At 37.9% G+C, this 15,096-nt stretch overlaps 1 long non-coding RNA gene and 1 pseudogene across 7 annotated transcripts in view; one reads left to right on the top strand and one right to left on the bottom strand.

Annotated features, from left to right (window-relative positions):
* SCHLAP1 (SWI/SNF complex antagonist associated with prostate cancer 1) overlaps nt 1–15,096 on the bottom strand; it is a 224,836-nt gene that overhangs the window by 39,703 nt on the left and 170,037 nt on the right. The window lies entirely within an intron of this gene.
* Nucleotides 3,672–4,532, top strand: FTH1P20 (ferritin heavy chain 1 pseudogene 20; annotated as a pseudogene).

The raw sequence follows: 15,096 nt of genomic DNA, 5'->3' as shown, positions 1-15,096 counted from the left end.
AGTTCTAATAGTTTTATGGTGGCATCTTTAGGTTTTTCCAAATATAAGATCATATCATCTGCAATTAAGAATAAGTTGACTTCTTCCTTTCCAATTTGGATATGCTTTATTTCCCTTTCTTGTCTGATTGCTCTAGCTAGTATGATGTTGAATAACAATGGTGAAAGTGGGCATCCTTGTTGTGTTCCAGGTCTTACAGGAAAGGCTCTCAGTTGTTCCCCATTCAATGATGCCAGTTGTGGGTCTGTTGTATATGGCTTTTATTGTGTTGAGATATGTTCCGTCTATTCCCAGTTATTTTAGGGTTTTTATCATGAAAGGGTGTTGAATTTTTTCAAAGGCTTTCAGCATCAATTGAAATGATCATATAATTTTTGTCCTTTATTCTGTCATACGATGTATCACATTGATTTATTTGTGTATGTTAAACCATCCCAGCAACCCTGGGAAAAACTCCACTTGGTCATGATGAATGAGCTTTTTAATGTGTTGTTGAATTTGGCTTTCTAGTATTTTGTTGAGGATTTTTACATCAATAATCATCAGGAATTTCGGCCTGTAGTTTTCTTTTCCTGATGTGGCTTTGTCTGGTTTTGGATTCAGTAATTCTGGCCTTGTGGACTGAGTTTGGACGTATTCCCTCCTCCTCTACTTTTTGAAATAATTTGAGTAGAATTGGCATTAGTTCTTTTTAAAATGTTTGGTAGAATTCAGCAGTAAAGTCATTGAGTCCTGGGCCTTTCTTTTCTAGGATAATTCTTATTATGGCTTTGATCTCACAACTTGTTATTAGTCTGTTCAGGTTTCGGATTTTTTTGTGGTTCAATCTTGTTACATTTTACATATCTAGGAATTTATCCATTTATTTTAGGTTTTTCTATTTATTGGCATATCATTGGTCACAGTATTCTCTAATGGTCCTTTAAGTTTCTGCTGTGTTAATTGTAATGTCTCCTTTTTCATCTCTGATTTCATTTATTTGCGTCTTCTCTCTTTTTTAATTAATTGGTTAAAGGTTTGTCAATATTATTTGTCTTTTCCAAAAACCAACTTTTTAATTTGGTATGATTTGGCTGTGTTCCCACCCAAATCTTGCCTTGAATTGTAATAATCCCCACGTGTCAAGGGTGGGGCCAGGTGGAGATAATTGAATCATGGGGGCAATTTCCCCCATACTGTTCTTGTGGTAGTGAATAAGTCTCATGAGATTTGATGGATTTATAAATGGGAGTTCCCCTCCGCAAGGACTCTTGCCTGCTGCCATGCAAGACATGACTTTGCTCCTCATTCACTTTCTGCTATCATTGTGAGGCCTCTCCAGGCATGTGTAACTGTGAGCTGATTAAGCCTCTTTCCTTTATATATTACCCAGTCTCAGGTCCGTCTTTATTAGCAACATGAGAACAGACTAAAACATAATTCATTTATCTTTTGTATTGTTGTTTTTATTTCAATTTCATTTATTTCTGCCCTGATCTTTATTATTTCTTTTCTTCTACTAAATTTGAATTTGGTTTGCTGTTGCTTTTTTAGTTCTTTAAGATGCATAGTTGTTTATTTGATGTTTTTCTACCTTTTTCATGTAGCTACTTATTGCTATAAGATCTCCATTTAGTATTCCTTTCACTGTATTTCATAGATTTTGTTTTGTTGTGTTTCAATTTTCATTTGTTTCTAGAAATTTTTAAATTTCCTTAATTTCTTTATTGACCTACTGGTCATTCAGGAGCATATTGTTCAATTTCCATGTTTGTATAGTTTCCAGAGTTCCTCTTGGTGATGATTTCTAGTTTTACTCCACTGTGTTCAGAGAAGGTACTTGATTTGATTTCAATTTTTTTGAATTTTTTACTACTTGTTTTGTTGTGTATTAAAACTCAAACAGATAATTAAAAATAGCTATGGTCTATACTTGAGAATTATCCAGATATTCATGCCAAGGAAAAGAATGTATATTCTGCATGAGTTGGATGAAATATACTATACATATCTATTATATCCATTTGGTCTATAGTGCATATTAAGTCTAATGTTTCTTTGTCGATTTGTTGTCTGTATGATCTCCAATGCTGAAAGAGGAGTGTCGAAGTCTCCATCTATTATTGTATTGAGATTTATCTCTCTCTTTAGTTCTAATAATATTTGCTTTATATGCCTGTGTGCTCCAGTGTTGGGTGCATACATATTTACAATTGTTACACTCTCTTGCTGAATTGACCCCTTTATAATCATGTAATGTCTTTCTTTGTCTCTTTTTATAAATTTTGTCCTGAAATCTATTTTTTCTGATATAAATATAGCTACTCCTGCTCTTTTTTAGTTTGCATTTTCATAGAATATTTTTTTCATCCATTTATTTTCAGGCTATGTTTGTCTTTGTAAGTGAAGTGTGTTTCTTGCATGCAACAGATCATTTGGTCTTTTTTTTTTTTATTCACTCATCCACTCTATGTCTTTTGACGGGAGAGTTTAGTTCATTTACATTAAATCTTATTTTTAATAAGTAAAAACATACTCCTGCCATTTTGTTATTTGTTTTCTGGTTGTTTTGTGATCTTCACTTTCTTTCTGTCTTCCTTTCAGCAAAGGTGATTTTCTCTGGTGGTATGTTTTAACTTCTTGCCTTTTATTTATTTATTTTTTTTGTAACTGTTGTAGTTTTTGATTTGAGGTTTCCACGAGGCTTGCAAATAATATCTTATAACCCATTATTTTAAACTGATGATAACTTATCACTAACTGCATAAACAAACACTCAGAAAGAAAACTAATAAAAACTGTACACTTTGACTTCATCCCCCAGCTTTTAAACTTTTTGTTGTTTGCATTTAAATTTTATTGTACTGTCTATGTCTTAAGAAGTTGTGGTTATTTCTGATTGGTTCATCTTTTTTATCTTTCTACTCAAGATATGAGTAGTTAACACACCAAAATTGCAGTGTTTTTTTGTTCTCTTTCTGTGTACTTCCTATTATTAGTGAGTTTTTCACCTTCAAATGATTTCTAATTCATTAACATCCTTTTATTTCAGACTGAAGAACTTCTTTCAGCATTTCTTATAGGACAGATCTGGTATTGATGAAATCCCTTATTTTAGTTTGTCTGGAGAAGTCTTTATTTCTCCCACATTTTTAAAGGATATTTTCACTGGATATACTATTCTAGGATAAAATACTTTTTCCTTCAGTGCTTTAGCTATGTCATGCCACTCTCTCCTGGCCCTTAAGGTTTTCACTGAGAAATTTGCTGCCAGTCATATAGAAGGTTCTTGGCATGTTATTTGTTTTTATTCTCTTGCTTCTTTTAGGATCCTTTCTGTATTCTCAACCTTTCGAAGTTTGATTACTAAATGTCTTGAGGTAGTCTTATTTAATAAGGTTTAAATCTGCTTGTTTTTATATAACTTTCTTGTTCTTGAATATTGATGTCTTTCTCTAGGTTTGGGAAGTTCTCTGTGATTATCCCTTTGAATAAACTTTCTACTCTGCTATCTCTCTCTCTACTGGCCAATAACTCTTAGATTTGCCCTTTTGAGGCTATTTTCTAGATCTTGTAGGCATGCTTCATGCTTTTTCTTTTATTATCTCTGAGTGGATATTTTCAAATAGCCTGTCGTCAAGCTCGCCAATTCTTCTGCTTGGTCAACTCTGCTATTAAGAGTCTCTGATGAGAGACGTTCTTCGCCGAGAGTCGTAGGGGTTTCGCCCATAGCCAGCCCTCCGTCACCTCTTCACGGCGCCCTGGGACTGCCCCAAGGCTCCCGCCGCTGCTCCAGCGCGGCGCAGCCACTGCCGCCGCCGCCGCCTCTCCTTAGTCGCCGCAATGACGACCGCGTCCACCTCGCAGGTGCGCCAGAACTACCACCAGTACTCAGAGGCCGCCATCAACCGCCAGATCAACCTGGAGCACTACGCCTCCTAAGTTTACCTGTCCCTGTCTTACTACTTTGACCGCGATGATGTGGCTTTGAAGAACTTTGCCAAATACTTTCTTCACCAATCTCATGAGGAGAGGGGACATGCTGAGAAACTGATGAAGCTGCAGAACCAATGAGGTGGCCGAATCTTCCTTCAGGATATCAAGAAACCAGACTGTGATGACTGGGAGAGCGGGCTGAATGCGATGGAGTGTGCATTACATTTGGAAAAAAATGTGAATCAGTCACTACTGGAACTGCACAAACTGGCCACTGACAAAAATGACCCCCATTTGTGTGACTTGAGATACATTACCTGAATGAGCAGGTGAAAGCCATCAAAGAATTGGGTGACCACGTGACCAACTTGCGCAAGATGGGAGCGCCCGAATCTGGCGTGGGAGAATATCTCTTTGACAAGCACACTCTGGGAGACAGTGATAATGAAAGCTAAGCCTCAGGCTAATTTCCCCATAGCCATGGGGTGACTTCCCTGGTCACCAAGGCAGTGCATGCATGTTGGGGTTTCCTTTACCTTTTCTATAAGTTGTACCAAAACATCCACTTAAGTTCTTTGATTTGTACCATTCCTTCAAATAAAGAAATTTGGTACCCAAAAAAAAAAGAGTCTCTGATGCATTCTTCAGTACATCAATTACATTTTTTCAGCCCCAGAATTTCTGCTTGATTGCTTCTAATAATTTCAATCTGTTTGTTAAATTTATCTGATAGGATTCTAAATTCATTCTCTGTGTCATCTTGGATTTTGCTGAGCTTCCTTAAAATAGCTATTTTTAATTCTCTGTCTGAAAGGTCACATAGCTCTGTCTCTCTGGGATTAGTCACTGTTGCCTTATTTAGTTTGTTTGGTGGGATCATGTTTTCCTGGAAAGTCTTAATGCTTATGAATATTCATCAGCTGCTGCGCATGGAAGAGTTAAATATTTATTGTAATCTTCACAGTCTGGGCTTCTTTGTATTTGTCCTTCTTGGGAAGGCTTTCCAGATACTTAAAGTGAGTTGGGTGTGTAATCTGATTCTTTTGTCACTGAAGTCATATCTGCTTTAGGGGTTACCCCAAGCCCAGTAGCACTGTGGACTTTTCAGACTTATAGAGGTGCCATCTTGGTGGTCTTGGATAAGATCCAAAATAATTTCTTGGGTTATCAGACGGAGACCTTTGTTCTTTTACTTTTCCTAAACAAATGGAGCCTCTCTTTCCCTGCTGACCTGGCTGGAGTTGGGGTACAGATGATGCAAGCATCCCTGTGGCCACCACTACTGGGACTGCACTGGGTTAGATTTAACGTCAGCATAGCACTAGGTCTTGCTAACACCCATGGTGACCACTGCTTGGCTACCACCTATGTTCACACCAGGCCCAAGGGCTCTTCATTCGGCAGGTGGCAAATCTAGGCAGGCTTGTGTCCTTCCCTCCCCAGCTCTGTATGGGTCCAGAAATGCCATCTGGGAGCCAGTGCCTGGAATTGAAAACCACAGGAATCTACATGGTGCTCTATCTTACTGAGCCTGAGCTGGCACCCAAACCTCAAGACAAAATCCTCCTCATTCTTTCTTCCCCTTCGGTCAAGGGAGGAGTCTCCCTCCTTCGTCACCACCACCTGGCAAGTACTACCTGGCTACCACTGATGTTCACTCAAGGCCCAAGGACTCTTCAGTCAGCTTGTGATGAATATTGTCATTCCCAAGTCTCTCCTTTCATGGCAGTGAGCTCCCCTCTGGGCCAGGGAAGTTCCAGAAATGCCATCCAAGAAAAAAGGCCTAGAACTGGGGATCTCAGTAGCTTGCTTGGTGCTCTACTCCACCGTGGTCATGCTGGCATCCAAGCTGCAAGACAAAGTCTCTTTTACTCCTCCCTCTCCTTTCTTCAAGCAGAATGGATCTCTCCAGGCAGCCAACATAGTTGGGAACTTGCTGGGTCATATCCGAAGTCAGCAGGGCTCTGAGTTTCACCCAAATCCCATAGTGAGTACTGCCTGGCTACCACTGCTGATTATTCAGAACCCAAGGGCTCCTTGGTCAGGAGGCAATAAATTCTGCTAGTACTGTTTTTTTCCCTTCAAGGCAGTGGGTTCTGTTCTGGCCCAGGATGTGTTTAGAAATATTATTCAGTTTCAGAAGCTGGGGCCTGGAACAGGGCCTTTGGACTCTGCCTAGTGTCTTATTATACTGTGGCTGAGCTGGTATCCCAGTTTCAAGACAAAGTCCTCTTTATTCTTTCCTCTCCTCTCCTCAAGTGGAAGGAAGAGACCTCTCCTGAAGCTATGAGCTATGCTGCCTGGGGTTGGGGAAGAGGTAACACCAGTACTCCCTTGGTCATCTTGGCTGGTATCTCACTAGGTTGCATGCACCCCAACTCCACTGGCTCCGACTATAGCACAGCACCAAAGCTTGCCTAGGAATTGCAGTCCTTGTGGCCTAGACTGCTTTTCAGGTTTATTGAGGGCCTCAGAGCACTTTAGCCTGTGGTGGCAGGACTTGCTGGAACTCAGGTTCTGACTACTGGGCTGGATGATTTGCCTCTGGCTAGGGCTGGTCTAAATGCTCCTTCTGTGGGTGCAAGCTGAGTTCTGCCCCATATTGCTTTCCACTGCTACAAGGCAGCACTGAGTCCCACAGTCACTGCACTCTCCCTCTCTCTAGTACACAGATTCTCTCTTTGTGCCAGGTGGCTGCTACCAGGGGATGAGGGAAGAGTGGTGTACATTATTCAAGACTGTCTTTTCTACCCTCCTCAACGCCTCTTTCCTTAATATGATGTTAAAACCAAGTACTGCGTTTGCTCACCTGATTTTTGGTTGTTATGAAGGTTCTTTTTTGTGTAGTTTTTCAATTTAGTGTTCCTGAAGTGGGGAGAATTGCTAGATGCTTCTATTTGACCATCTTGCCCAAGTAAATATGTTTTCATAAAATTTGGGGTAACTTTCTCAGAAATCTACTATAATTCTTTGAATTAAGGCATTACTTCCAGAAAAGGCCTGTCAACCTGAAAATACATGAGCCAACCAACTATCACATTAACACGATTCAGTAGCTTTTACTTGTAAGCATGTAAAGCAATAGAGGGACGGGACCAGGCATTAGACATTTTGATAGAACTGAAGGGAAGAAAGGTGGCAACAGAAAACACTGAAGCACTAATAATGAACAAAAGCCAAATACTGTGTTAAGTGTAAACCCTATTTTCTAGAATAAATCAAAGCATATATTTGTGACATAATTACAAGATTTTTAGGTAAAGTTATCAGTCAAAGTCCTGGAAGAAAACTTCAGCTGAATGTTTTGAGTGTAATGAGAATGCATACTAATTGAGTAATTAGATACTATTTTAATAAAGAGGGTGTTTACTGTGGGTAAGGTGTGGGGAAACTACAAGTGATACTGTAATGCTCCAGAACTAATTAACAGCTATTACCACACCACACAAGAAGGGGAAAGGGAGGTAACAGTATCTGGAGCCGAGATTATCACCCAGGTGAGAAGTTGACATGAGAAAAAAAATATACCTGGCATCCAGAGACATAGAAGTCTGGGGGAGAGGGCTGCCTGACATGAGATGTGACTTCTGGTTGAGAGATCAGAAAATCTGTGGTATAAATACCATAATCTCACTTTATTTCTTTTGATCTCATGTTAGCGATCTTTATTAATCAAACCCAACTGGAAGCCACAGTGCAAGGGAGCTCAGTATTGCTCACAAATGTTGGCCTTCCAGAGCAAAGAACAGGAAAGAGAAGAGTGGATAGGTTGTCTACAATGGCAATTCTTTCAGATGACTATCTTTCACTTGAAAGATATTCTAAAAACCAAATCTTTTGTAAATGTATAAAAACATTTGCTTTCAGGGTTTAGATTTAATGAAAATATTTCCATATAAATAAAAATTTTCAATGATATAAAATAAATTCTAGAAAATTTATTTTGAGGATTTATACAGAAGTTGGACTGCTTTCCAGTGGAATCTTCCATATGCTCTCTGTAATATATACTTGATCAGAAGTTAGGTTAGCTTAAATAAGTGAAAAGTATATCCCAACTGTATTTTATTTCTGTAACTGTAGCTATCTTAAGTCAGAAAACTAATATTTTAATGTTGCCTTAATTAAAAGGTAGAGATGAAATATTCAGCATATTTTGTGTTAGGGAAGTTTTAACCAGTTTACATTACCTGGCATCCAAGTGGGATATATTTATTTTCTTGGACAGTAAACTAAATTATTCTGTTAGCAACCATAGTTGCTGGTTTTTTTGTTTTTGTTTTTGTTTTTTGAGACAGAGTCTCGCTCTGTCACCCAGGCTGGACTGCAGTGGCATGATCATGGCTCATTGCAACCTCTGCCTCCCCAGGCTCAAGCGATACTCCCACCTCAGCCTCTGGAATAGCTGGGACTACAGGTGCGTGCCACCAAACTTAGCTAATTAATTTTTTTTTTTTTTTTTTTTTTTTTTTTTTGTAGAGGTGAGGTCCAGTATATTGCCCAGGCTGGTCTCAAACTGTTGAGCTCAAACAATCCTCCTGCCTTGGCCTCCCAAAATGGGATTACAGGCATGAGCCTCCATACCTGGTCCATGCACACAATATCTTTACAACGTCTAAGAAAACCAGATGAAAGATCACAGTGTCTGGTTGTAGCACAATAATAATAAAAGATACGTTGAAGAGGATAGGAAGGACAGTTTTACATTATCCAAATCACCTCTTTTCCAATTCCAGGCAGCAGAGCATGAAAAGACATACTCTCCACTTGGCAGGAAGAGAGGAAAGTAAGCACAGGATTTTCCGCTGGATCCCAACACTGAGTCCACCACAGTAAAACTCAGCACCAGGCAGACCCCACAACTGCAGAATCCAGGCTGCAATTCACAGACTAATCCTCTAGACCCACCTCAGTACCAGATGGTACCACACAGCTCAAGGTTTTAGGTTTGCGTGGTAGACTCAATCTCTATCTTTCACCACTGCCAGCCTGACTTCAGAGATCCTGGGCTCTGGACAGTCCTCAGTGGCAGGCAACTCTCAGGAGCCTCAGGCTTCTGGCACATCCCAGTACCAGCCAGCTGCCACAGGCCCTGACCTTCTAGCAACACTGTCCCATGTATTCCAGACTTCTAGCATACCACAGTGCCATGCTGATTGCATCTATTGAGGCTCAGGTGTGCCTCAGAGCTGTGCCTGCTGCAGTAGGCCCCACGTCTCTGGCATGCCCCAATGCCATGTTGGTAACATTGACTCTGGGCATCTGGAATTCCCTAGCACTGAACTGACCATAGTGGAGCCCAGGCTTCTCGAGCGCTCCAGTCCCATGCTGGCTGCAAGTACCGTGGGCTTCTGGCACACCCCATCATTGCTCCTGCCACATGACTTTCCAATGCAAAGCCAAACTGTAAAGATTTGAATAAATAGCTACTTTTTCAAATGCACAGATATCAATACACAGCTACAAGGATCAAGAACAATTACAGAAACGTGACATCACCAAAAGGACAAAAAAATTTCCAGCGATTGACCCTAAAGAAATAGAGATATATTAACTCTCTGAAAAATAATTCAAAATAATCGTTTTAAGGAAACTTGACAATAATTATAATATGCAACAGAAATCCTTGAACTGAAAAGTACAGTTAATGAAATGGAAATGAAATAGACAGCATCAACAGCAGAATTAATCAAGCAGAACCAATCTGTGAATTTGAAGACTGGTTATTTGAAAATACAGTCAAAGGAAAAAAAAGATAAAATAATGAAAAGGAATAAGAAAAGCTTATAATATTTATGACACAGCATCAAAAATAGCCTTGATGGATACAACGTTCATAGTTGGAAATTTTTTTCCTTCAGCCCGTTGTACATATCATCTCTCTTTCCCGGCCTGTAAGGTTTCTGCTAAGAAGTCTGCTATTAGCTGTATTAGAACTTCCTTATATGGTATTTGCTTCTGTTCCCTTGCTGCTTTCAGCATCCTCTCTTTGATTGTTGACAGTTTGATTATAATATGTCCTGGGGTTGTTTTATTTGAATTTAATATGATTGGAGACCTTGACCTTTGTTTACTTAGTTATTGACATCTTTCACTAGGTTTAGAAAGGTTTATGCTACTATTTCCTTAAATAAGCTTTGTACTCCTTTAGTTTTTTTCCTTTTTTGAACTTCTAAGACTAGAATTAAACAGGAGGAAATACTTCCAAACTCATTTTACAAGAGCAGCATCACCTTGATACCAAAGCCAGACAAAGACACTACAGAAAAAGAAAATTGCAGGCCAGTATCACTGATAAACATAGGTGCAAAAATTATTAACAAAATACTAGCAAACAAAATTCAACAGCACATTAAAAAGATCATTCACCAAGACAGATAGGGATTCATTTTAGGGCTGCCAGAAGGATATAGCATACACAAATCAATAAATGTGACACATCACATTAACAGAATAAAGAATAAAAACCATATGATAATTTCAATAGATACAGAAAAAGCATTTTATAAAATTTAACATTCTTTCATGATTAAAAACTCTCAAACTAGGCATAGAAGGAATGTTCCTCAACACAATAAAAGCTATGTATCACAATCCCACAGCTAACATACTTAACAGGGAAAATTTGAAACTTTTCCTCAAAATCAGGAACAATACAAGATGTCCAATATTGCTACTTCTATCTAATATACTGCTGAAGAATTTAGCCAGAGCAATTAGACAAGAGGAAGAAATAGAAAGCACTCAAATTAGAAAGGAAGAAGTTAAAATTTCCCTGTTTGCAGATAACATGATTTTATATATAGAAAATCCTAAAGACTCCACTAAAATACTGTTAGAACTAATAAGCAAATTCAGTAAAGTTACAGGATACAAAAAAATCAACATATAAAAATCAGTATCATTTGTAAACTCTGACTGTGAACTACAGTCATTTGCCACATAGTGGCATTTCATTAAATGATGAACAACATATACCCCAAAAATAATCATGCTGTATTTGTAATGTACCGTTTCTATGTATAGATATATTCAGATACACAAATACTTACCATTGTGCTATAATTACCTGCCATATTCAGCATAGTAACAAGCTGTAGAGTTTTGTAGTCAAGGAGCAATATTCTATACAACATATCCTAGGTGTGCAGTAAGCTATACCACCTAGGTTTGTGTAAGTATACTTTATGACATTCAAAAATAATGAAATCACCTAACAACACATTTCTTAGAATGTATCTTTGTCATTAAGTGATGCATGACTGTATCTGAAAAATAAATTTAAAAAATCCAATTTTTAATAGCTACAAGAAAGAAAACACTTAAAAATAAATTTAACCAAGGAGGTGAAAACACTACACTGAAAACTGTGAGACATTGAGAAAGAAATTGAAAAAAATACAAATAATTGAAAAGATATCCCATGTTATGATTGAGAAGAATTAATATGGTTAAAATATCCAGACAATCTAAAGTGATCTACAGATTCATTTCAATCCCTATCAAAATGCCAATAACATTCTTCATAGAAATAGAAAAAAAATCCTAAAATTCATGTGGAAAAGACCATGAATAGCCAAAGCCATCCTGAGAAAAAACACAGCTGCAGGCATTATACTACCTGACTTGAAAATATACTACAAAGTTATAGTAATCAAAACAGCATGATATTGGCATAAAAACAGACAAATAGAACAATGAAATAGAATAGATAACCCAGAAATAAGTCCATATATTTATAGCTACTGATTTTTGAGAAAAGCACCAAGAACACACAATGGGGAAGGACAGTCTCTTCAACAAATAGTGTTGGGAGAATTGAATATTCACATGCAGAGGAATGAAATTGGAACCTTAGCTCACACCATATGCTTTTTACAGAGGAGGTAACTTTTTACAGAGGAAGTAATTTTCTGAAGGTCACACAGCTAGTAAGTGGATTGAACAAGGCAACCTGACTCTGGAGTTTGAGTTCTTAACTAGTATTTGATTTTACTTATTACCAGACTTCGAAAGAGAATGCCCAGATTCTTTCTTTTTGCTCTGAATTACTAAATGACTTTTATATATTATAAAGGAATGATATGTACCTTGATTATAGTTTTATATGTTACACTAAGAACATACTCTAAAGTGGCTTTCATAAAGATGATTACAAATAATATAGACAGGGCCAGGCACAGAGGCTCATGCCTGTAATCCCAGCACTTTGGGAGGCTGAGGTGGGCGGATCACGAGGTCAGAAGATCGAGATCATCCTGGCTAACATGGTGAAACCCCGTCTCTACTAAAAATACAAAAAATTAGCCAGGCATGATGGCACGCACCTGCAGTCCCAGCTACTCAGGAGGCTGAGGCAGGAGAATTGCTTGAACCCGGGAAGTGGAGGTTGCAGTGAACCGAGATCCTGCCACTGCACTCCAGCCTGGGAGACAGAGCGAGACTCCATCTCAAAAATAATAATAATAATAATATAGACAATCCTTAGGTCTTTCATTAAAGCAAAATCAGTTAACTAGTTCTTTTGCCTCTATAAGATAGCAATGATAATTTCAACTAGTTGGTTTATTGAAATGACTCAGTTTTAGGGAGGGACTTGTTTAGTTAACCTATTACTTTTGCATTATGCAGACGTAAGCCATGTGAGTGATGTTAACTCAAAACATGCTAGCGTTATCATTGTTTCCAAAGCAATTAGTGTGCTGTTTGGAAAAACAATGCCTGGACATCTCGCTCTCATAATTTAGTAGTGTTGGTATAAAGGCATTTAAAAAACCTGCTAAAAACTAAAACTAAAAAAGAAAGAAAAAGAAGACAAAAAAGCCCTGGGGAGAGCATTTCCTTTCAAAGAAAGATGGCTAAATTAATCTAACAAATGTTGAATACATTCAGCCAACTGTTTAATGAAATTGGGAAATCTAGGCTCCTTAGGAAAGGATTTCTTATAGTGGCATTACAGGACTGGCATGGGAAAGGCAGGAAGACAATCCTTCTATCCAATTTCTATTGAGCTTTGTAAAAGCCATCCAATTATAAATGCATTCTTTCTCTGATCTGGGGCTCTCCTGTGCATTTTAAACTCCTCTGAGTATTTTTATCTTTGCTCATATTAAGAGGTTCTATACTAAGTTATCTTTAGTGAGAGCTTTTTCAAGCATATTTTATTGGCACCTTGAGATGCAGTAATGTAACCCATTCCTACCACTCCAGTGTGATACACTGAATATGACATTATTTGGAGTCTCTGGAATAATAATTTACACATAGGGCTATGAAACACAAATGATTCACAAAACAGTCATGAAATAGTTATGGAAGATTTAGAAATAAAACTTTTAAAAGCATATTTGTAAGGACAATGAGGTGAAAAATCAATATAGAAAGAACTAGGATTTATATTTTTCACCAGACTGCTAAGGGCACATTGCCATAGAGATGGATCTACACAATTATTCACCACCTGTAATATCCAGAGTTATAAGCACAGCTTTTTAACAACTAAAAAAATTTCAGTTCCCATGATAAAATTTTAGCCAGTGCAGAAGGTGGTGTCTCTTGTTACCAATATATAGACATGATGGCTGAAAGCTAACAAATGCCTATGAATCCAAGAGAGAAATGCTCATGATCCAAAGTGAAGAGGAAACATAAAGTCAAAGTGAGCAGGAGCTGAAGCTAAATGGCTGGCGTTAGCAAAACAAAATATAGGTTGGGAGTGGGGCACGAGACAGCAGTTGGAGGAGCATTATTGATATCTTTGAGTGGAAAAGGAATCCACTTTGAAGGATCCTTATAGTCAAAAGCTAGAGTTGAAACACTAGTGCAGAGCCAGGATTCAGGAAGGGACTGGCTTGACTGAATATGGTGCTGAGATGCATGTTAAACCTTGATATGGGATATGACTAAGCAGTTGCCTTCTGGCCACAAGAGTAGACACAAATTCCCTTTCAGGAGCTTGAACCCTGATAAGCGCTGTGAGGTCTAGAAAAGGACTATGCATACTGTAGGTGGGAAATATTTACCAAATAGGTGAATGAACAACAGGCAGACAGTTACCTAACATAATGCTATCTCCAATTTTCTTGAGTACCTACCATGGTTCAGGAATGTTCTATGGATGGGGATACACACATTGAAAAAAAAAAAACCATAAAATACTTGCCCTCCTGAAAGTCACATTTTAGCTGCCTGAGCATCAATCACAAATAAATGTGTAACTGTAACTAAAAATTAGGTCATGTAATGAGAAGTGCTATGAAGAAAAATAAAGCGAGTTGAATAGGAGAGGAATAGAGGAGGGGGTGCTATTTCAAGAAATTGACTAGGAATGGTTTCATTCATGAGGTAATATTTGAGCAGATCCCTAAAGACATTAGAGCATGAGACATGCAGATATCTGGGGGAAAGCATACCAGGCAGAGAGAACAGCAAGGGCAAATGTGCCGAGGCAAAGGTGTTCTTGATCAGTTTAAGAAATAGCAAGGAAAGGAGTAAGAAGAAGAAATGCATTCATCTCTTGAGGTTGTAGAGGGTGGCTTATGAGCTCTGCTGGGAACTTCAGTTTTTAGTGTGTTACATGATTTGATATAGAAGGATCCATCAGGCAGCTGTGTGTCGAATACACTGCAGGGAAGACAAGAGTGAGAAAACCAATAAGAAGGCTACAACGATATGGCTATTGTTGTGAAAAATCTTAAATAAATTGCTACCATATAAAATCCATCAGGATTAAACAATAATGCATATCCAAGAGGCTTTATTTGAGGAGTATAGAGATGAGTTAATATCAGAAAAACTATTAGAGCAGTATACCATATTAACAAATTAAAAGGTTAAAAAAGCATTTAGTTAAAGAGAGCAATAGTTTTCAAAGAAGCAACTGACATAATTTGATGCTTATTATATATAAACTCTCTGCAAGTGAGGAAGAGAAGTGAACTATCTTTATTTAAAGGAAAACTACAAAAATCTCTTGCAAATATTTAGTGGGAAAACATTTAGAAGCATTCTGACTGAAGTCAAGACAAGAACATATACTGTCAGAATTATTATTTAATATTTTACTGAAGAATCTGGCAAGTGCATTAAAACCAGAAAAATTTTAAAAATAGCATAATGAAAAGGAAAGAGGAGGCAAAGTGATTTTGATTTGTAAGTGATAGGACATACATTAAGACTAAA

The sequence above is a fragment of the Homo sapiens genome, chromosome 2 (genome assembly GCF_000001405.40).
Source record: "Homo sapiens chromosome 2, GRCh38.p14 Primary Assembly".
Lineage (NCBI taxonomy): Eukaryota > Metazoa > Chordata > Mammalia > Primates > Hominidae > Homo > Homo sapiens.
The sequence above is the reverse complement of the archived record's forward strand: the minus strand, read 5'-3'. Positions and strand labels throughout refer to the sequence as shown.